We start from the raw sequence: 18802 nt of genomic DNA, 5'->3' as shown, positions 1-18802 counted from the left end.
TGAGGCACCATACCTTTCTTTGGGGCAGGCCAGCTGAGAATTCTGGGATGGGCCAGGAGAGTCTGGCTTGGGAAACTCCTGCACCTGCCAAGTCTCAAGTTTGTCCTTGTTTGGGACCATCCCTCTTTCTGTCCCTTATCTCCTCCTGCCTGGCTTCCATTTCAGTGTTTGTAAAGTGTGTTCCTTAGAATACTACTTTTTTTTTTTTTTTTTTTTTTTTGTGAGACGGAGATTTACTCTTGTTGCCCAGGCTGGAGTGCAATGGTGCGATCTCAGCTCACTGGATCCTCTGCCTCCCAGGTTCAAGCGATTCTCCTGCCTCAGCCTCCCGAGTAGCTGGGATTACAGGCATGTGCCACCACACCCAGCTAATTTTGTATTTTTAGTAGAGATGGGATTTCGCTGTGTTGCCCAGGCTGATCTCGAACTCCTGACCTCAGGTGATCTGCCCGCCTCGGCCTCCCAAAGTGCTGGGATTACAGGCGTGAGGCACCGCGCCCTAGAATACTACTTTCAAGGGATGTAGAAAAGAGCTCTGCGTTGAATAAATTTGGGAAATTCAAAGTTAGATGCAAAAAGGTTTCTCCATTTCCTCCCTTCGCCCCTTGCCCTCTCTCCTTTCCTTCCTTCCTCTCTCTTTTCCTGTCTTTGTTTCTTTGCATAGTAAAGGCTCTGGGCAGTCTTTTTTTTTTTTTTTCTGACATGGGATGTTGCTCTGTCACCCAGGCTGGAGTGCAGTGGTGTGACCATGGCTCATGAACAGTCTTATAATAATGTGCTGTGAATGTCCAGGATGGGCGTACAGGATGAAGTGTTTCCCGAACTCCTTTGTCCTTTCGCACACTGTCTCACAAGATCAGTGAGCAACATTTGGGGAAACTGTTCTGGCCTTATTCCAGCTGGCTCCAGTTATGCAAGTCTGGAATGAAAGCTGGGGGTGGTAGGTTCTGACATCCCCAAGCGCTAACACCCTTGTCCCTGCTTTGTCCCAGGCTGGCCCTGCATAACTCCCGTTTCCTGAGTCTCTGCTCTGAGCTGGATGGTCGAGTCCGGCCCCTCGTGTACACCCTCCGCTGCTGGGCTCAGGGTCGGGGGCTGTCAGGTGAGAATGGATCAGGACAGACTTGGGGCTGAGTTGGTCTCAGGACAAAGGCAGGGATTCAGGGAGAGAAGGGAGGTCAGAATGGGCACCGGGGTTGAGAAAACTGCCAGTGAGGGGATTAGAAGCACCTCTGATCTAACCGGAATTATTGCTTATTTACCCAGGGAGTGGCCCCCTTCTCAGTAACTACGCCCTGACCTTGCTGGTGATCTATTTTCTTCAGACCAGGGACCCTCCTGTGTTGCCCACTGTGTCCCAGCTCACCCAGAAAGCAGGTACTCGGCCTAGCCTCCACCCTCTCCATCTTGTTAGTTTCCTCTCTCTTCTTCATCACACTTAGATACACCAAGCAGCTCTGTGAATGAGATCTCTCTACCCCCACCCTCAATCTCCTTGCTTCCAGACTGACTCTCACCTTATTTACTTTCACAGGAGAGGGGGAACAGGTGGAAGTCGATGGCTGGGACTGCAGTTTCCCCAGGGATGCCTCAAGACTGGAGCCCAGCATAAATGTGGAGCCCCTCAGTGAGTTTGGGGAGCCTGGTAGAGGACTAGTAATGATGTTCATCAACAGTAGGTAACATATATCACACTAACTGTGTGCCAGGCATGGTTCTCACAGAAAGCCTGTGAGATACCTAATATTATTACTGCCATTTTACAGATGAAGAAACCATGTTTGGGAGCAATTAAGTGACTTGCCCAAGGTTACACTGGCTAGCAAGGAGCAGCAGCATCTGGGCAAGGACATCATGTGGGGGCAGGGAGAGAGGTTTGACCTCTTGTTTATAGGGATCAGAGAAGCCTAGCTTCCTGGGACTCTGCTGAGCCCCTTGGAAGGGAAAAAGTCCTGCTAAGGAAATGGCTCTGGTGCAGGACCTGTATCAGTTCTGGCCTCTAAGTGACCCCCCTTTCCCCACTCTTCCTCCTCCTCCAGGTTCCCTGCTAGCCCAGTTCTTCTCCTGTGTATCTTGTTGGGATCTTCGTGGCTCCCTGCTGTCCCTGCGGGAGGGTCAGGCACTGCCTGTGGCAGGGGGCCTGCCTTCTAATCTCTGGGAGGGTCTGCGCCTTGGCCCCCTGAATCTCCAGGACCCTTTTGACCTGAGTCACAATGTCGCAGCCAATGTGACCAGCCGGGTGGCTGGGCGCCTACAGAACTGCTGCCGAGCAGCAGCCAATTACTGCCGAAGCCTCCAGTACCAGCGCCGTTCCTCCCGGGGTCGGGACTGGGGGCTGCTCCCTCTTCTGCAGCCCAGCTCCCCCAGCTCCCTGCTCTCTGCTACGCCGATCCCTTTACCCCTTGCACCCTTCACCCAGCTCACTGCTGCCCTGGTGCAGGTATTCAGGGAAGCACTGGGGTGCCATATAGAACAGGCAACCAAGAGAACGCGGTCAGAAGGAGGTGGAACTGGGGAGTCCTCTCAGGGAGGGACAAGCAAAAGACTCAAAGTAGATGGACAGAAAAACTGCTGTGAGGAGGGGAAAGAGGAGCAGCAGGGATGTGCAGGGGACGGTGGGGAAGACAGGGTAGAAGAGATGGTTATAGAGGTTGGAGAGATGGTGCAGGACTGGGCCATGCAGAGCCCTGGGCAGCCAGGGGACCTGCCCCTGACCACTGGAAAGCATGGAGCCCCTGGAGAAGAGGGGCAGCCCAGCCACGCAGCCCTGGCAGAGCGGGGGCCCAAGGGACATGAGGCAGCCCAAGAATGGTCTCAGGGTGAGGCAGGGAAGGGGGCATCCCTGCCCTCCTCAGCGAGCTGGCGCTGTGCCTTGTGGCACCGAGTGTGGCAAGGGCGGCGGCGAGCCCGTAGACGCTTGCAGCAGCAAACCAAGGAGGGAGCTGGAGGTGGCGCTGGCACAAGAGCAGGGTGGCTGGCGACTGAGGCTCAGGTCACCCAGGAGCTGAAAGGACTGAGTGGTGGCGAAGAGAGGCCAGAAACTGAGCCCCTGCTGAGCTTTGTGGCGTCTGTCTCCCCGGCTGACCGAATGCTCACTGTGACCCCGCTCCAGGATCCCCAAGGCCTGTTCCCTGATCTCCATCATTTCTTACAGGTTTTCCTCCCTCAAGCAATTCGACATCTCAAGTGAAGACATGGCCCCTGAAGGGCAATAAAGCTGCTAGTTTATTAATACAGTCTCCCGTTTCCTTTCATTTCCATCTGGTCATAATCCCCCTTCCCCTCCCCCAGAACTTCCTGCAGCTGCTCCCGTCTGACCCCGAACATGGGTCTCTCCCTGTTGCTCTCCACCCCACCAGCTTCTCCTTCCTACAGTTCGCACAGCTCGAGGGGAGTGCGGGGGCAGCACCGCGCGTGGCACCTGGCACCCGCGCAGAGTTCCTGAATGGCAGAGCGGTGGGTGGCTCCAGCAGTACTGAGAAGAGCCAGGTTTGCCTCCACATTCTTCCTGTCGCCTCAGATTTATGCGCACAAGGACGGAGATTTGCGTTCAGCGTTCTTCATTCTCTCCTTTAAACGAGGAGAGTTCATCCCGTTCTTAAACTGGGTAAGAGATTTCAAACCTGAACATGGGTCAAAAGCCATGAACATCAGAAGCGACGATGTCAGGTCTTCCAGCGTCAGCCCCTCCAGGGGCCGAGTCCGGAGGAGGTGGGAGGGACAGGGCGCGTTCTCCCTCATGTCCCTGCCCTGCTTCGGGCCGGAGGGCCGGTGCCCTGCTCGCAGTAACAGCACCCTGGAGCTGTCAGGGGTTGGATGTGAGCAAACCTCACTTTGGCAGGCGGGTTCAGACCGGGGCCCCTGTTAGACGCTCATCCCTTTCTGGAGGAAAAGCAGAGCAGGAACTAAAGGGATTTAGCACACACACTGCCACCTCCGCGCAGCAGCTGTTCCTCGCTCCCATGAGTTTCATAGAATCATGTGAGGGGCTTGGCAAAATCTACCATCAAGTCACTTGTCCCTGGGAGGGCCAGAGAGGGACGCCCCCAGTAGCACTGGCCGCGCCGGGCCAACAACCGCGCCACGTAGCCAAGAACTCGCGGCTTTTCCAGCGGGTTCTCACAACTTCCCCGCCCTCCACGCTGTCTACCTCCACGTCTAGACTCCGATTGGCCCGCTGCACCTGGGGGGCGGGCCAGTCAAGAGCTCCAATGCGCAGGCCCGAGCTTTTTCCGCGCTGGCCAGCAGGCCCCACCCACCCAGTTCTTTTTCCAATTCAGCGCCACTGGATACCGAACTGTCGTACGTATGTCTTCTGTTTCGTCCTCGCTTTCCGGCTGCTGTTTCTCCACGGCTCTCCTCTTTCCCCCTCCCTTCTCTCCCGGGCGGCTTACTTTGCGGCAGCGCCGAGAACCCCACCCCCTTTCTTTGCGGAATCACCATGGCGGCTGGGGTAAGTTTGCTGGCTCTGGTGGTTCGGGTCATCCTATCCACCGCCATCCTTTGCCCGAGTGGGGCCAGTCGGCGCCAGAGGAGTTCTGAGGTTGAGTGGGGAACTGATTCGGGGGTCTACAGACTGTACTGCTGGAGAGTAGGGTTCCTAGGGCCTGGAGGGGAACTGAGGCTGGGGCTCTCGGAGGCCAGAGGTGGAAGGGTCTGGGGAAGAGGAGAAAAGAGATGCCGGGTCTGGGCCGTCCGAAGCCTGAGAAAGGGGTTCGGCTCTGTTGCCGCTTTGAGGCGTGGTATCTGGGCAGGTTGACGAACTTCTGTGTCCGTTTTGTGGAGTAACACAGGGGACAGGTTGAAGAGGAGGGTCTTTGTAGGCAGGTCCGGCTGGCACGGTTAAAGGTCGTCTCTCAGGGAGGTTTGGGAGCGAGAGGATTCTCCGGACAGTGAAGTCAGACCAATTGGACTCCGCTGGCCGGCATAATAGAGAAGCCCAACGCCGGGGAACTCGCTGCGGGACAGGACCGGAGGGATGATATTCGCGACACGGAAAGAAAGGCTTTTTGAGAGAGAGGAGTTGATTTAAGAAGACGGCATGCCATCCCCTATCTCTGGCTAGTCTGAGGGGAACTAGAAATCTCTCGATCGTCGTGCGTGCCTTAGAGACAGGACGATGCTTTTGAAGCGGTGAGCAGCTGAGCAGTAGAGTAGGCAGGCGCTCGGAACCATCAATGAATGAAGCGAGGGCTCCGGGAAGGGAGGAGAGTATGTTTGTAGGCAGATGGAGTCTGATGGAGCTAGAAGTTCTGGATTTCTTGGAGATAGATTTGAGAGGAAGAGAATACTTCCAGAGGTGTCCTTAGGGAAGGTCAAATCTGTCAACAAGCTTTATTTAGCAGTTGGTGTGTAGTTCTGTTCTTGGTATTTCGGAGGATTCTGATTACATATGACAAGTACTAAAGGACTTGGTTCACCAGAGGAAGTAAAAGGGTGAGTTGAATACATTGGGATTATTCAGGAAAGTCATCCTGGAGAGTGGCATTAAGGACTGGGACCCTTCTACTCATTAATTTTGTCCCTCTCTTTCTCCCATAGACCCTGTACACGTATCCTGAAAACTGGAGGGCCTTCAAGGCTCTCATCGCTGCTCAGTACAGCGGGGCTCAGGTCCGCGTGCTCTCCGCACCACCCCACTTCCATTTTGGCCAAACCAACCGCACCCCTGAATTTCTCCGCAAATTTCCTGCCGGCAAGGTGAGTTGGGAGATGGGGAGCATCCTTCGGTTCTGAGAAACCAAGGCCCTGCGATTCTGTCACTCTGGTGGTGGCCCCCATCTCTAAAAGGGAGCTTCCCATGTTGTTTTATTCAATTTCGGTGATTTTATTTTGAGATAAATACAGATTTACATGTAGTTGTGAAAAAAAATACAGAGCTATTCTGTGACTTTATAAAATTCACGAGTTTACTTTGTGGGAAAGAGAATGAGTTTTGACTAAGCATTTTCAGTGCAAATATATCAGATATCTGTTATGAGCAGAATTCTTACCCCAAGGGGTTTATAGAGATAGGTGAAGAAACATGCTAAGAATGGAGGAGATGAAGTGCTGTGTGGGTCTGGGTCACACACTAATACTTTAACTGATACAGACATTGATACAGGAGTTGCTTTTGGCCTTCTGCTTGTTTGATCCAGAGATTTCATACAAATATCCTGTAATATTCAAATCTATTGGGCTTCCTAGTTAACATTGTGAATTCAGATTGCAAAGGAGGCCAAGTTCTTGAAGTATTTATTTATGGTTCTTGAGTATCAAGAGTTTGGATAGTGAGAATCATCAGCCTTATATAAGTATTTTCAAAGCAGTTTGGCTCCTGGTATTGGTTAGGAAGAAATTTTGTGTGTTTTACCTTATCTTTTCACTGCTTTGTCCCCAGGTCCCAGCATTTGAGGGTGATGATGGATTCTGTGTGTTTGAGAGCAACGCCATTGCCTACTATGGTAATTTGCAGGGGTATATGGGAATGGGAGAATTTGGAGGTGAGGGTGTAGGAGAGGATAAGTGTGAGCGGGGGTGGATATGAAGGAATTCTCCAGGACCTGGACTGGTGTTGGCATTCCCCCAGAGTTCTGACCTTCGTGTTCTGCCTCTGCAGTGAGCAATGAGGAGCTGCGGGGAAGTACTCCAGAGGCAGCAGCCCAGGTGGTGCAGTGGGTGAGCTTTGCTGATTCCGATATAGTGCCCCCAGCCAGTACCTGGGTGTTCCCCACCTTGGGCATCATGCACCACAACAAACAGGTGAGCCTTGGAACTTTGAGAGAAGCCAGGGGCAGGGGTGGCATCAGCTCCTGGGTGTTGGGAGTAAGAAATAAAATAGGTTGAAAAAAAGATGCCAAGGATATGTAGGCAATGAGAAGACGTAATCTCTAGGGTACGAGTTTGAAGCAGTGGGCAGTTGATGGAGGAAGTGTCTGTCATGAGTGATCAGAAGAGGGATTGCTGCTGTGAAGAGATTATACCAAATGGTAAGGGGGTGGCTGGACCAGAGGACCTCTGAAGTTCATTGTTTGTAATACATTTAGAATGACCCTAGGATCTGCCTCCATTGAAAGAGAGTGAGGGTGAGCTCAGACTTCTAGGTGAAAATAGCCCTCTTAGTTCTATTAATGGGGGAGGTGAGGGAAAGGGATTGGTACCCACTGATGAGTTTTATCATGTTGAATCACTAGGCCACTGAGAATGCAAAGGAGGAAGTGAGGCGAATTCTGGGGCTGCTGGATGCTTACTTGAAGACGAGGACTTTTCTGGTGGGCGAACGAGTGACATTGGCTGACATCACAGTTGTCTGCACCCTGTTGTGGCTCTATAAGCAGGTGAAGTTTATGGAAAATCCATTTGGCAGTGGGTAGATGGGGATTAGAAACAAAGTGACGAGGTATCTAGGTTACCCTGTATTCTGCTGAGGACTTGGAAAACAGCTAGAGGTGGGTGCAGTGGCTCATGCCTGTAATCCGAGCACACTGGGGGGCCGAGGTAGGCAGATCACCTGAGGTCAGGAGTTTGAGACCAGCCTGGCCAACATGGTAAAACCCTGTCTCTACTAAAAATACAAAAAATTAGCCAGGTGTGGTGGCGCACACCTATAGCCCCAGCTACTTGGGAGGCTGAGGCACAAGAATCACTTGAATCTGGGAGGTGGAGGTTGCAGTGAGCAGCGATCGCCCCACTGCACTCCAGCCTGGGTGAGAGTGAGACTTCGTGTCAAAACAAACAAAAAACAGCCAGGAATCCCAGGACTGAGTACCATCACTTGCTTTCCATTCTCTTAAGAAGCTGGGTAATGTCTTGCCTTTAGTTTCTGTTTGGCAGCTAAGATGTTTAGTTTGTTGCCATATTTCCTGGGAAGATTGGTTATTCTTAGTTGTGAAGACAGAGGTGATGATGGTAGCTTCAGCATTAAGATCTTTTTGGAGGCAGGCCAGGCACTGTGTCTAACACCTATAATCCCAGCACTTTGGGAGGCCTAGGCGGGTGGATCACTTGAGGTCAGGAGTTCGAGACCATCCTGGCCAGCATGGCGAAACCCTGTCTCTATTAAAAATACGAAAATTAGCCGGGCGTGGTGGTAGGAGCCTGTAATCCCAGCTACTTGGGAGGCTGAGGCAGGAGAATGGCTTGAACCCAGGAGGTGGAGGTAGCAGTGAGCCAAGATCCAGCTACTGTGCTCCAGCCTGGGGGACAAGAGCGAGACTCCATCTCAAAAAAAAAAAAAAAGCTCTTTAAGCTCTTTTGGAGACAGATACAGGTTCAAGCCTTGGCTTCATTGTTTACCAATGTAGGTAAGGGGTTATATGCGGGTGAATTCCTTTAGTCCTGTTTTTTACTCTTTGCAATCTATAAAATCAGGGTAGTAATAATCACTGTCAAGGTTATTGGGTCAAAAAAGAATGACAAGTCACTGGTTTCCAAATAAAAGCTCTTGGACTGATGCTGGTCCAGAATAGTAATGTGATCATAGCAAAAGAAAAAACACTTACTGCATGCCAGACCCTGTGCCAGGGGCCTCATGGGGATCATCTTAGTGAGTGAATCTACTAAGTGGTAGAGTAGAATTTGAACCCAAGTACTGTGGAACCAGCACTCTGACTGCTGTGTTCTGTTTCCATGACAAGATTTTTTTTCCTCTTCTGGTCTTTGCAAACTAAAAAATGACAACAGTTCTACCTGAAGCTTTGCAAACTGAAAACTGACAACAGTTCTACCTGAAGCTGTTTATTCTTATTTTTCTTTGACCATGCTTAATACACCAGACACTAAGTTTAATTTGAAGGACTGTCCATTATTTATTTATTTATGTATTTATTTTGACAGAGTCTTGCTCTGTCACCCAGGCTGGAGTGCAGTGGCACGATCTTGGCTCATTGCAACCTCCACCTCCCAGGTTCAAGCGATTCTCCTGCCTCAGCCTCCCAAGTAGCTGGGATTACAGGCATGCGCCACCAAACCCGTCTAATTTTGTATTTTTAGCAGAGATGGGGTTTTGCCATGTTGGTCAGACTGGTCTTGATCTCCTGAGGACCTCAGGTGATCCACCCGCCTCGGCCTCCCAAGTGCTGGGATTGCGGGGGTGAGCCACCACACCCAGCCAGGACTGTCCATTATTCTAAATGCGTTTGAATATTTTCTTTGAATGTTCTTTACTTTCTGAAGTTTGATGGATGGGTGGGTGTGGGGGGTGTGTGTGTGTGTGTGCGTGTGTGTATAGTATGGCCAATATAGATAGTAAATACCTATAGTGTTTAGATTTTATTTGGCAAAAAAGTCCTCGATAGCCCTCTGTGGGTCTCAATCTTTTTTTTTTTTTGAGACGAAGTCTCGCTCTTGTCCCCCAGGCTGGAGTGCGATGGCGCGATCTCGGCTCACTGCAACTTCTGCCTCCCGGGTTCAAGTGATTCTCTTGCCTCAGCCTCCTGAGTAGCTGGGATTACGGGCATGTGCAACCATGCCTGGCTGATTTTTGTATTTTTAGGAGAGGCGGGGTTTCACCATGTTTGCCAGGCTGGTCTCGAACTCCTGACCTCAGGTTATCTGCCCGCCTCGGCCTCCCAAAGTGCTGGGATTATAGGCGTGAGCCACCGCTCCTGGCCGACGTTTGAAATTTAAAAGATTGGAAACAGTAGATCTGAAATAGTTTTGTAAAGGAGCAAGACAATTATTACTCCTACTCCTAAATGGAGGATGGACCCAAGCATCCATCCATTAAACTGGACTACACTGAAAAAAAAGATTAGAAAAAGAAATGGAGGCCAGGTGTGGTGGCTCACGGGTAATCCCAGCACTTTAGGAGGCCAGGGCAGGAGGATTGCTTGAGCATGCGAGTTCAAGATAAGCCTGGGCAACATAGTGAGACCCCATCTCTATTAAAATTTTTTTTTTTTTTTTTTTTTTTTGAGACAGAGTCTCACTCTGTCACCCAAGCTGGAGTGCAGTGGCGTGATCTCGGTTCACTGCAACCTCCACCTCCTGGGTTTAAGTGAGTCTCCTGCCTCAGCCTCTGGAGTAGCTGGGACTACAGGCACGTGCCACCACGCCCAGCTAATTTTTTTTTTTTTGAGACAGAGTCACTCTGTCACCCAGGCTGGAATGCAGTGCCGCGATCTCCGCTCACTGCAAGCTCCGCCTCCCGGGTTCACGCCATTCTCCTGCCTTAGCGTCCCGAGTAGCTGGGACTACAGCTGCCCGCCATCACGCCCAGCTAATTTTTTTATTTTTAGGAGAGATGGGGGTTCACCGTGTTAGCCAGGATGGTCTCGATCTCCTGACCTCGTGATCCGCCCGCCTCGGAGATCCCAGCAGTTTGGGAGGCCGAGGTGGGCGGATCACTTGAGGTCAGAGTTCGAGAACAGCCTGGCCAACAGGGCGAAACCCCATCTCTACTAAAAGTACAAAAATTAGCTGGGTGTGGTGGCAGGCACCTGTAGTCCCAGCTACTCAGAAGGCTAAGGCATGGGAGGCTGAGGCACGAGAATCACTTGAACCCAGGAGATGGAGGCTGCAGTGAGCTGAGATCACGCCATTGCACCCCAGCCTGAGCGATAGAGTGAGACTCTGTCTCAAAAAAAAAAAAAATTGAAAAAAATGAAGAAATGGGAAGTAATCCAGGGAAGGATGATGTTGTATGAAGCTATTGTCTATAGGGTTTGAAAAGAAGGTGAGCACTGGGACTTAGGTAGAGCAAGGACTCTTGCTGTGAACAGAACTCTTCAGGGCCTTTCCACTGACTTTGTTTACACCCTTATGTCCTGGCAGGTTCTAGAGCCTTCTTTCCGCCAGGCCTTTCCCAATACCAACCGCTGGTTCCTCACCTGCATTAACCAGCCCCAGTTCCGGGCTGTCTTGGGCGAAGTGAAACTGTGTGAGAAGATGGCCCAGTTTGATGGTGAGTCTGAGGAGACTGGGAGGCATATGGCCAGGATCAGGGTCTGGTTTGCTCTGCATCAACCCCTTGATTTCCTGTCTTGCTTTTGGGTTATGGGGACCTGCAGAATGTAGGGTGTCAATGTGGTAGCTAATATTATGTGCAGTTTCGTGTACACTCATACCCTGACTAATTTGTATTACTATATAGATTTGCGATATAAAGTATTTGTTGCTGAGTGTGTTGTTGCTGGAGGACACACAGTGAACTGATGAGCAGTCTGGGGCCTAAGTTCCTTACTTGTCCCATTCGTCAGTTTCCTCTGTTACCTTGCTTGCTCTGTGTGGTTTTGGAGGGGTGTGGAAAGAGGCAGAACATTCGTTCACTTTCCTGCCTTCCTCTGCACCAGCTAAAAAGTTTGCAGAGACCCAACCTAAAAAGGACACACCACGGAAAGAGAAGGGTTCACGGGAAGAGAAGCAGAAGCCCCAGGCTGAGCGGAAGGAGGAGAAAAAGGCGGCTGCCCCTGCTCCTGAGGAGGAGATGGATGAATGTGAGCAGGCGCTGGCTGCTGAGCCCAAGGCCAAGGACCCCTTCGCTCACCTGCCCAAGAGGTAAGGATATTGGAGGGTGGAGGGTGTGGGACCAAAGAAGGCCTGTTCTCACCTCTGTATGTCCCCCCTCACACACAGCTAGAGCCAGAATTTTAGGTTGTCCATATAAAGTTAAAGGTATATTTTAGTTGCAAATAAAGCAGCTTTCTGGCTGATAATCAGGAATTGGGCAAATTTTGATTGTGGAGAGCAAGTTTCAAGTACAGCCAGTACTGGGGAAGATTGAACTCCTATTCCAACAAAGACAGGAACAGATTTTGATATAGTGGTAAGTTGGTTTTGAGCAAGCTCATTTGACCATTTGAGAGCTCTGAGAACAAATACAGGGAGAGGCGTGGGGAGGAAGAAAGTGCAGAGAGCCTTGCGGTGCGCCACGCGCCCGGCTGTGCGGAGATAGTGGATGCCAGAGCAGGGTCCTTTGAATTGTTTTGTTTTCTGTTTTGCTGAATCAGACTGTACAAAAATTGCTCACTAAGAAAAAGGATGAAGATCATAGCTAAGTAGTGTCTGTCTAGTTCATTGTTCCACAACCGAGTAAAGTCCCCAAGTAGAAGAAAGTAGGTGTCCTCTGTATCCCTTTTTCAGTTAAAGGTAGGGCTTCTTGGAAGAAATAATATAGTAAAAACGAGATTTTTGGCATGAAAAATGTAGGACGCTGAGTGCTTGCCCAGTTCTCTGGGATGGAGTCTTTCTTCCATCACTGCTCCAAGTCATTTTATTGGGAGTTCAAGCAGTTTGAGAAATATATATTCTGTGGTCACTTTGCTTTGGAACTCCTCTTTCTCTGTACTTTTTCCTCCCACTCACCCTGTCATTTCCAAAGCCGTTCATCTTTTTACTGCTTGGTCTGCTAGGGTTTACATTTCACCCTCTCCCATCTTGTAATGGCTTGGATACCGGGTGAACCAGCCTAAAGGAGCACCCACTGGTAGGGACACAGTAGCTGTGCATAGAATTGTGAATTACAAGCATTGCACTAATAGATGGGAGCAACTTGGGGTATAGCTGAAAGTTCTTACTCCCGGGTATTTTGTACAAGACCAGGAAGGCTCCATCCAGACACAGGCACTCTTTAAAGATGTATTTTTTGAACTAGTGATTTGCCTTGAATTTAGCACAGGTGCAGGTCAAGAGTGAGCAGGATTTTTGGTGTGTGTAAATAGGTCATGATAATTAACCCAAATTACATATTGTGTTGTAACTCAGACGTTGTTAATTATTAGCTAGAGATTTTCACATATAGTAGGTCAGTACTCTGGGCAGGAAATAAATGAGGCAGTAGTAAACTTAAAATCTTTATTTAATAAACTTTACATTTTCTTAACATGGTTTTGGGAATGTTTATTAATGTCTATTTATTGGGTTACCATGATGCCCTACAGGGCTGCCAGAAATGCTTTCCCCAAGGTTTTTTTTTTTGGAAACAGGGTTTTACTTTGTTGTCCAATCTGGAGTGCAGTAGCGTGATCACGGCTCACTGCAGTCTTGACCTCCTGTACTCAAGCGATCCTCCCACCTCAGCCTCTGGAGTAGCTGGGACAAAGGCACACACCACCACACCCAGCTAATTTTTTATTATTTGTAGAGACTAGGTCTCACTATGTTGCCCAGGCTGGTCACAAACTCCTGGGCTCAAGTGATCCTTGGCCTCTCAAAGTGCTGGAATTACAGGTGTGAGCCACTGTACCTGGCTCCTTTTTGTGTTTTTTGTTTTTTTTTGGTTTGTTTGTTTGGAGACAGAGTCTCACTCTGTCACCCAGGCTGGAGTGCAGTGGTGTGATCTCAGCTCACTGCAACCTCCGCCTCCCCAGTTCAAGCGATTCTCCTGCCTCAGCCTCCCGAGTAGCTGGGACTACAATGACAGGCGCGTGACACCACGGCTGGCAAATTTTTTGTATTTTTAGTAGAGACGGAGTTTCACCGTGTTAGCTAGGATGGTCTCAATCTCTTGACCTCGTGATCCGCCCACCTTGGCCTCTCAAAGTGGTGGGATTACAGGTGTGAGCTACCGTGCCTGGCCCCCTTTTTTTTTTTTTTTTTTTTTTTTGAGATGGAGTCTGGCTCTGTCGCCCAGGCTGGGATGTAGTGGTGCAATCTTGGCTCACTGCAACCTCCACCTGCCGGGTTCAAGCAGTTCTGCTTCAGCCTCTTGAGTAGCTGGGACTACAGGCACGCACCACCATGCCCAGCTAATTTTTTGTATTTTTAGCAGAGACAGGGTTTCACCATGCTGGGCAGGCTGGTCTCGAACTCCTGACCTCGTGATCCGCCCGTCTCCGCCTCCCAAAGTGCTGGGATTACAGATATGAGCCACTGCTCCCGGCCTTTTTTTTTTTTTTTGTGAGACAGAGTCTCACTCTGTTGCCCAGGTTGAAGTGCAGTGGTGTGATCTCGGCTTACTGCAGTCTCCGCCTCCTGGGTTGAAGCAATTCTCCTGCCTCAGCCTCCCGAGTAGCTGGGGATTGCAGGTGCGTGCCACCATGCCTGGCTAATTTTTGTATTTTTAGTAGAGATGGGGTTTCACCATGTTGGTCAGGCTGGTCTCAAACTCCTGACCTCAGGCAATCCGCCTGCCTTGGCCTCCCAAAATGCTGGGATTACAGGCGTGAGCCACCGCCCCTGGCTCCCCCAACATTTTTAATGTCATAAAAGTGATATCCTAAAAGACCAAGACTATTAATGTCCAGATTTTAATTCTAGTTCTTTTAAGACCCAGCTAGGTCAACTGCAGTGGCTCATACTACTTGGCAGGCTGAGGTGAGAGGGTCACTTGAGTCCAGCAGGTTGAGGCTGCAGTGAGCCATGATCGTGCCCCTGCACTTGGGTGACTGAGCAAGACCCTGTCTCAAAACAAATAGCTTGAACAGTTCAGGAGGGTGTGAAAAAATTCCCAGCCCCAGTTTTGGTGTGGTTGAGGTTTTAAGGCTCCTCAGATGAGGTCTCTTATGCATTTGGAAAGGAACCTGGGACCTAGGGTTAAAGGACAGATCCTCTGCTTTGCTACAGTGTAATCTTGGACAGGTCATTCTACTTGGTCTCATCTGTAAAGAGAGGGGAGGGTCAGGGTAACAGTTGATAACTCATGGGTTATAAGGATTGAGTGAAATTGGAATACTCATGGCAATATTTATGCTATGAACAATAGAACCAACTAAACATTCAGTTTAATATTCAATGTTTAGTAGATTTATGGCACAATCCTGCATTAGAAGATTGTTTGGCCATTAAAATGTTTGCAAAGAATTCTGTTTTTGAGGTAGGGTCTTGCTATGTTGCTTAGTCCGGTGTCCAACTCCTGATCTCAGGTGGTCCTTCTACCTCAGCCTCTTGAGTAGCTGGGACTGCTAGTGCAAAAAATTGTTTTGTTTTAGGCTGGGCGCGGTGGCTCACGCCTGTGATCCCAGCACTTTGGGAGGCTGAGGCGGGTGGATCACGAGGTCAGGAGATTGAAACCATCCTGGCTAACACGGTAAAAATACCGTCTCTACTAAAAATACAAAAAGTACAAAAAATTAGCCGGGGGCGGTAGCAGGCGCCTGTAGTCCCAGCTACTCAGGAGGCTGAGGCAGGAGAATGGCGTGAACCCAGGAGGCGGAGCTTGCAGTGAGCCGAGATTGCACCACTGCACTGCAGCCTGGGCAACAGAGCTAGACTCCGTCTCAAGGAAAAATAAAAAAAAAAGGATTGTTTTGTTTTTTTGACAGGGTCTTGCTCTTCTCCCAGGCTGGAGTGCAGTGGTGTGATCTCGGCTCACTGCAACCTCTGCCTCCCGGACTCAAGCAATTCTCTTGCCTCAGCCTTCTGAGTAGCTGGGATTACAGGCGTGAGCCATGGTGCCCAGCTCCCAGCTAATTTTTAAATTTTTTTGTAGAGACAGTGTCTCGCTATATTTCCCAGGCTGAAAGAATTCTTAACAGCATGGATAGGATGTCCAGTAACAACAAAGTATAAGCACAAAACTGCATATGTCATGGCTACATCTTTGAAAAATCAAAGGCTGTAGGAAAATACATAAAAGATTATCCTGGGCTGGGCACGGTGGCTCATGCCTGTAATCCCAGCACTTTGGGAGGCCGAGGCGGGCGGATCACGAGGTCAAGAGTTCAAGACCAGCCTGACCAACATAGTGAAACCTCGTCTCTACTAGAAATACAAAAATTAGCTGGGCGTAGTGGCACGTGCCTGTAATCCCACTACTTGGGAGGCTGAGGCAGGAGAATCGCTTGAACCCGGTAGGTAGAGGTTGCAGTGAGCCGAGATCGCACCACTGCATTCCAGCCTGGGTGACAGGGCGAGACTCCATCTCAAAAAAACAAAACAAAAAAAAGATTATCCTCTTGTTGGCATTATAGGTGATTTTCTTCAGTCAGCATATATATATATATGTGTATGTATATGCACACACACACATATATACACACACATGTTGTACCTGAGCGAGTTAGAGAAAACGCCACACTTTGAGACGAATTAAGAGTCCTTTATTAGCCGGCAACCAAGAGACGGCTAACGCTCAAAAATCTCTCGGCCCTGAGGAAGGGGCTTGACTAACTTTTATACCTTGGTTTAGGAAGGGGAGGGGAACTCAAATGCAATAATTTTACAGAGGTAAAAACATGCAAGAATCAAAAGAAGCAAAATGGTTACAGAGAGATAAACAATTTAAAAGACAAATGGTTACAAAAAGCAACCGTACCAGGTGCAGGGCTCTAAATCCTTCATTATAATTAGATATGGGGCTATGCGGGACACAACTCAAGGCTTTATGTTGTTATCACTTTGAGAAAAATCCTGGGAACTTCATACATTGTTTGTGCCAGTACCTTATCAGTTAATTGGGCTCCTTTGAAATGCTGAGGATCTGCTTAACACAGGTCAACTCCTTGTGGAAGGGGGTTGGGTGAGGAGCCCTTAGTGTCTTGTAAATTAAAGGGTCAATTGGAGTTTGTCCGGCTTTCCCAGCTAGAGAGAGAGTCTTATTTACATGAGAAGCAAGGCTAGGTGGTTAAAGAGACAAACAGGGAAGATTCAAAGTAGTGAGTTAGAGTAAAAACAAGGTTAGGCATTTAACACATGTATGCACACACACATATATGTGTTTTTTGGTTGTTTTTTTTTTTTTTGTTTTTTTTTTGTTTTTTTTTTGAGACGGAGTCTTGCTCTGTTGCCAGGCTGGAGTGCAATTTCGGCTCACTGCAGCCTCTGTCTCCTGGGTTCGAGCAAGTCTCCTGTCCCTGCCTCCCGAGTAGCTGGGACTACAGGCGTGTGCCACCAATTTTTTTTTTTTTTTTTTTTAGTAGAGATAGGTTTTCACCATGTTGGCCAGGATGGTCTTGATCTCTTGACCTCGTGATCCGCCCGCCTCGGCCTCCCAAAGTGTTGGGATTACAGGTGTGAGCCACCCTGCCTGTCCTTTTTTTTCCCCCCAGACAGGACTCTTCCTCTATCGCCCAGGCTGGAGTGCAGTGGCGCGATCTCTGCTCACTGCAACCTCTGCCTCTCGGGTTCAAGCTATTCTCCTGTCTCAGCCTGCCACCACGCCCAGCTAATTTTTGTATTTTTAGTAGAAACGGGGTTTCACCTTGTTGGTCAGGCTGGGCTTGAACTCCTGACCTGAGGTGATCCACCTGCCTTGGCCTCCCAAAGTGCTGGGATTACAGGCGTGAGCCACCGCATCTGGCCAGTGTATATGTTTATAACTGGAAAGAAAGAAAACAGAGCACCAATCGTGGAGGGAGTGACCTCTGCTATATTGATGCTGGCATTCTTGGCTCAGTATGCCAGATTGCTTTTAAGATAACCTGAACCTAAGGGCTTTCCAGCATCGGAAAACCTTGGAAAAGACTAAAGCTTGTTTATAGGCAGAGATGGACTAAAGGACATGGGTGTAAGATTTGGGGTGGAGGCCCTTTGAGAATGTTCACTGCTTACATTCCTGTTACAGCTTGTGTAACCTGAAGAGGCCTGTATGGTGGGGGGGAAGAGACTTGGGTGAGTCAGTGACTTAGTGTGGTTCATGGAAAACAGCCTGGGGAGGGCCTGAACAGGGAAAAAGAAGTCCTCACTCTGTCTCCACCTGGGGGCAGCAGTTAGCCATGCCCTTCCTGGGGCAGGTCTCAGAGTCCCACTTTGAGTTCCACCCTCCACATGCCTTGCATACTTATGCAGAGGAGTGTCCTAGGCCCCTGTTCAAACCCCTTGAGCTTACTTCCCTCATAAGGTCATACACATCTGCCAGCACAATGACCATTTCCTTTATATTAGTAAATTTTAAGTGAAAGCACCCTTCACTTCTCTTAGCCTGGCAACCTTCCTCCTTATTGATTGACCCCTGTGCTTTCTTCCTCTTAGTACCTTTGTGTTGGATGAATTTAAGCGCAAGTACTCCAATGAGGACACACTCTCTGTGGCACTGCCATATTTCTGGGAGCACTTTGATAAGGACGGCTGGTCCCTGTGGTACTCAGAGTATCGCTTCCCTGAAGAACTCACTCAGACCTTCATGAGCTGCAATCTCATCACTGGTAAGAGAGTGGGTCTGAGAAGGAAGGAGAACAAGGTGTAGCAAGTGCTGTGATTCCAAAGGCTGAATGTTCTCCCTTGCCGCTTCAGGAATGTTCCAGCGACTGGACAAGCTGAGGAAGAATGCCTTCGCCAGTGTCATCCTTTTTGGAACCAACAATAGCAGCTCCATTTCTGGAGTCTGGGTCTTCCGAGGCCAGGAGCTTGCCTTTCCGGTGAGGAAGGTGGAGGAGAGGAGTCTCTTTAGGGTGGGGCAGGGATATAAGAAGCACTGTGTTTTATTTCTGAGTTGATGGATGTTTAGGAGGGTTCAGGAATGCTTATAGGAAGGAGCAGTTCATGTTCACAGGAGACCTGGGGTCTGATGACATGTGTTTGAGCTGGAAGTAACACAGGTGTGGGGTGGTGTCTCATAACTTGACCACATGCTGGCTTTTTATCCCCAGCTGAGTCCAGATTGGCAGGTGGACTACGAGTCATACACATGGCGGAAACTGGATCCTGGCAGCGAGGAGACCCAGACGCTGGTTCGAGAGTACTTTTCCTGGGAGGGGGCCTTCCAGCATGTGGGCAAAGCCTTCAATCAGGGCAAGATCTTCAAGTGAACATCTCTTGCCATCACCTAGCTGCCTGCACCTGCCCTTCAGGGAGATGGGGGTCATTAAAGGAAACTGAACATTGAACCCTTTCCTGTCCTGCCTCCTTTGTGAGTGGTGGCGTCTTCAAGGGGAGTAGATATGTTGAAGCAGGGTACTTTCTGTGTTCGCAGTACCTCGATATGCAGGAGAGAAGACTTCAGAAG

The 18802-nt window shown here is 49.5% G+C and overlaps 2 protein-coding genes and 1 non-coding gene across 4 annotated transcripts in view, besides 7 other annotated features; all 3 read left to right on the top strand.

The window, feature by feature from the left end:
• Positions 1-3232, top strand: part of TUT1 (terminal uridylyl transferase 1, U6 snRNA-specific) — a 16472-nt gene extending 13240 nt beyond the window's left edge. Inside the window, exons 6-9 of one of the 2 annotated variants that reach the window (NM_001367906.1) lie at positions 993-1102; positions 1326-1377; positions 1535-1627; positions 2040-3232. In NM_001367906.1, coding sequence (NP_001354835.1) covers positions 993-1102; positions 1326-1377; positions 1535-1627; positions 2040-2151 — 367 coding nt within the window. In that variant the 3' untranslated portion in view covers positions 2152-3232. Of the gene's footprint in view, positions 1-992; positions 1103-1266; positions 1378-1534; positions 1628-2039 lie in introns of both variants that reach the window. The other variant, NM_022830.3, reaches the window with a different exon arrangement.
• Positions 2346-3307: an enhancer, noted in NCBI's record as "H3K27ac-H3K4me1 hESC enhancer chr11:62342449-62343410 (GRCh37/hg19 assembly coordinates)". NCBI's record gives its function as "activates a minimal SCP1, AML or CMV promoter by ChIP-STARR-seq in naive H9 embryonic stem cells {active_cell/tissue: H9 hESC(naive)}" and the evidence as "EXISTENCE:reporter gene assay evidence [ECO:0000049][PMID:30033119]".
• Positions 3308-4269: an enhancer, noted in NCBI's record as "H3K27ac-H3K4me1 hESC enhancer chr11:62341487-62342448 (GRCh37/hg19 assembly coordinates)". NCBI's record gives its function as "activates a minimal SCP1, AML or CMV promoter by ChIP-STARR-seq in primed H9 embryonic stem cells {active_cell/tissue: H9 hESC(primed)}" and the evidence as "EXISTENCE:reporter gene assay evidence [ECO:0000049][PMID:30033119]".
• Positions 3465-3524: an enhancer, noted in NCBI's record as "active region_4826". NCBI's record gives its function as "activates an Ori minimal core promoter by ATAC-STARR-seq in GM12878 lymphoblastoid cells {active_cell/tissue: GM12878}" and the evidence as "EXISTENCE:reporter gene assay evidence [ECO:0000049][PMID:35858748]".
• Positions 4225-4424: an enhancer, noted in NCBI's record as "active region_4825". NCBI's record gives its function as "activates an Ori minimal core promoter by ATAC-STARR-seq in GM12878 lymphoblastoid cells {active_cell/tissue: GM12878}" and the evidence as "EXISTENCE:reporter gene assay evidence [ECO:0000049][PMID:35858748]".
• EEF1G (eukaryotic translation elongation factor 1 gamma) lies at positions 4393-18688 on the top strand. Its single transcript, NM_001404.5, has 10 exons — positions 4393-4453; positions 5542-5700; positions 6383-6446; positions 6602-6744; positions 7176-7319; positions 10756-10885; positions 11274-11478; positions 17830-18002; positions 18091-18215; positions 18447-18688. Exons 1-10 carry the CDS (start codon positions 4442-4444, stop codon positions 18603-18605), a joined length of 1314 nt encoding a protein of 437 aa, NP_001395.1. The 5' UTR covers positions 4393-4441; the 3' UTR covers positions 18606-18688.
• Positions 11213-11273, top strand: MIR6747 (microRNA 6747). Its single transcript, NR_106805.1, has one exon. It is a non-coding gene; the product is annotated as a microRNA 6747 (primary transcript).
• Positions 16091-16633: an enhancer, noted in NCBI's record as "OCT4-NANOG-H3K27ac-H3K4me1 hESC enhancer chr11:62329123-62329665 (GRCh37/hg19 assembly coordinates)". NCBI's record gives its function as "activates a minimal SCP1, AML or CMV promoter by ChIP-STARR-seq in naive and primed H9 embryonic stem cells {active_cell/tissue: H9 hESC(naive and primed)}" and the evidence as "EXISTENCE:reporter gene assay evidence [ECO:0000049][PMID:30033119]".
• Positions 17725-17844: an enhancer, noted in NCBI's record as "active region_4824". NCBI's record gives its function as "activates an Ori minimal core promoter by ATAC-STARR-seq in GM12878 lymphoblastoid cells {active_cell/tissue: GM12878}" and the evidence as "EXISTENCE:reporter gene assay evidence [ECO:0000049][PMID:35858748]".
• Positions 18260-18802: an enhancer, noted in NCBI's record as "H3K27ac hESC enhancer chr11:62326954-62327496 (GRCh37/hg19 assembly coordinates)". NCBI's record gives its function as "activates a minimal SCP1, AML or CMV promoter by ChIP-STARR-seq in naive H9 embryonic stem cells {active_cell/tissue: H9 hESC(naive)}" and the evidence as "EXISTENCE:reporter gene assay evidence [ECO:0000049][PMID:30033119]".

The sequence above is a fragment of the Homo sapiens genome, chromosome 11 (genome assembly GCF_000001405.40).
Source record: "Homo sapiens chromosome 11, GRCh38.p14 Primary Assembly".
Taxonomy (NCBI): Eukaryota; Metazoa; Chordata; class Mammalia; order Primates; family Hominidae; genus Homo; species Homo sapiens.
Note: the sequence above shows the minus strand (reverse complement) of the source record. Positions and strands in the feature narration are given on the sequence as shown.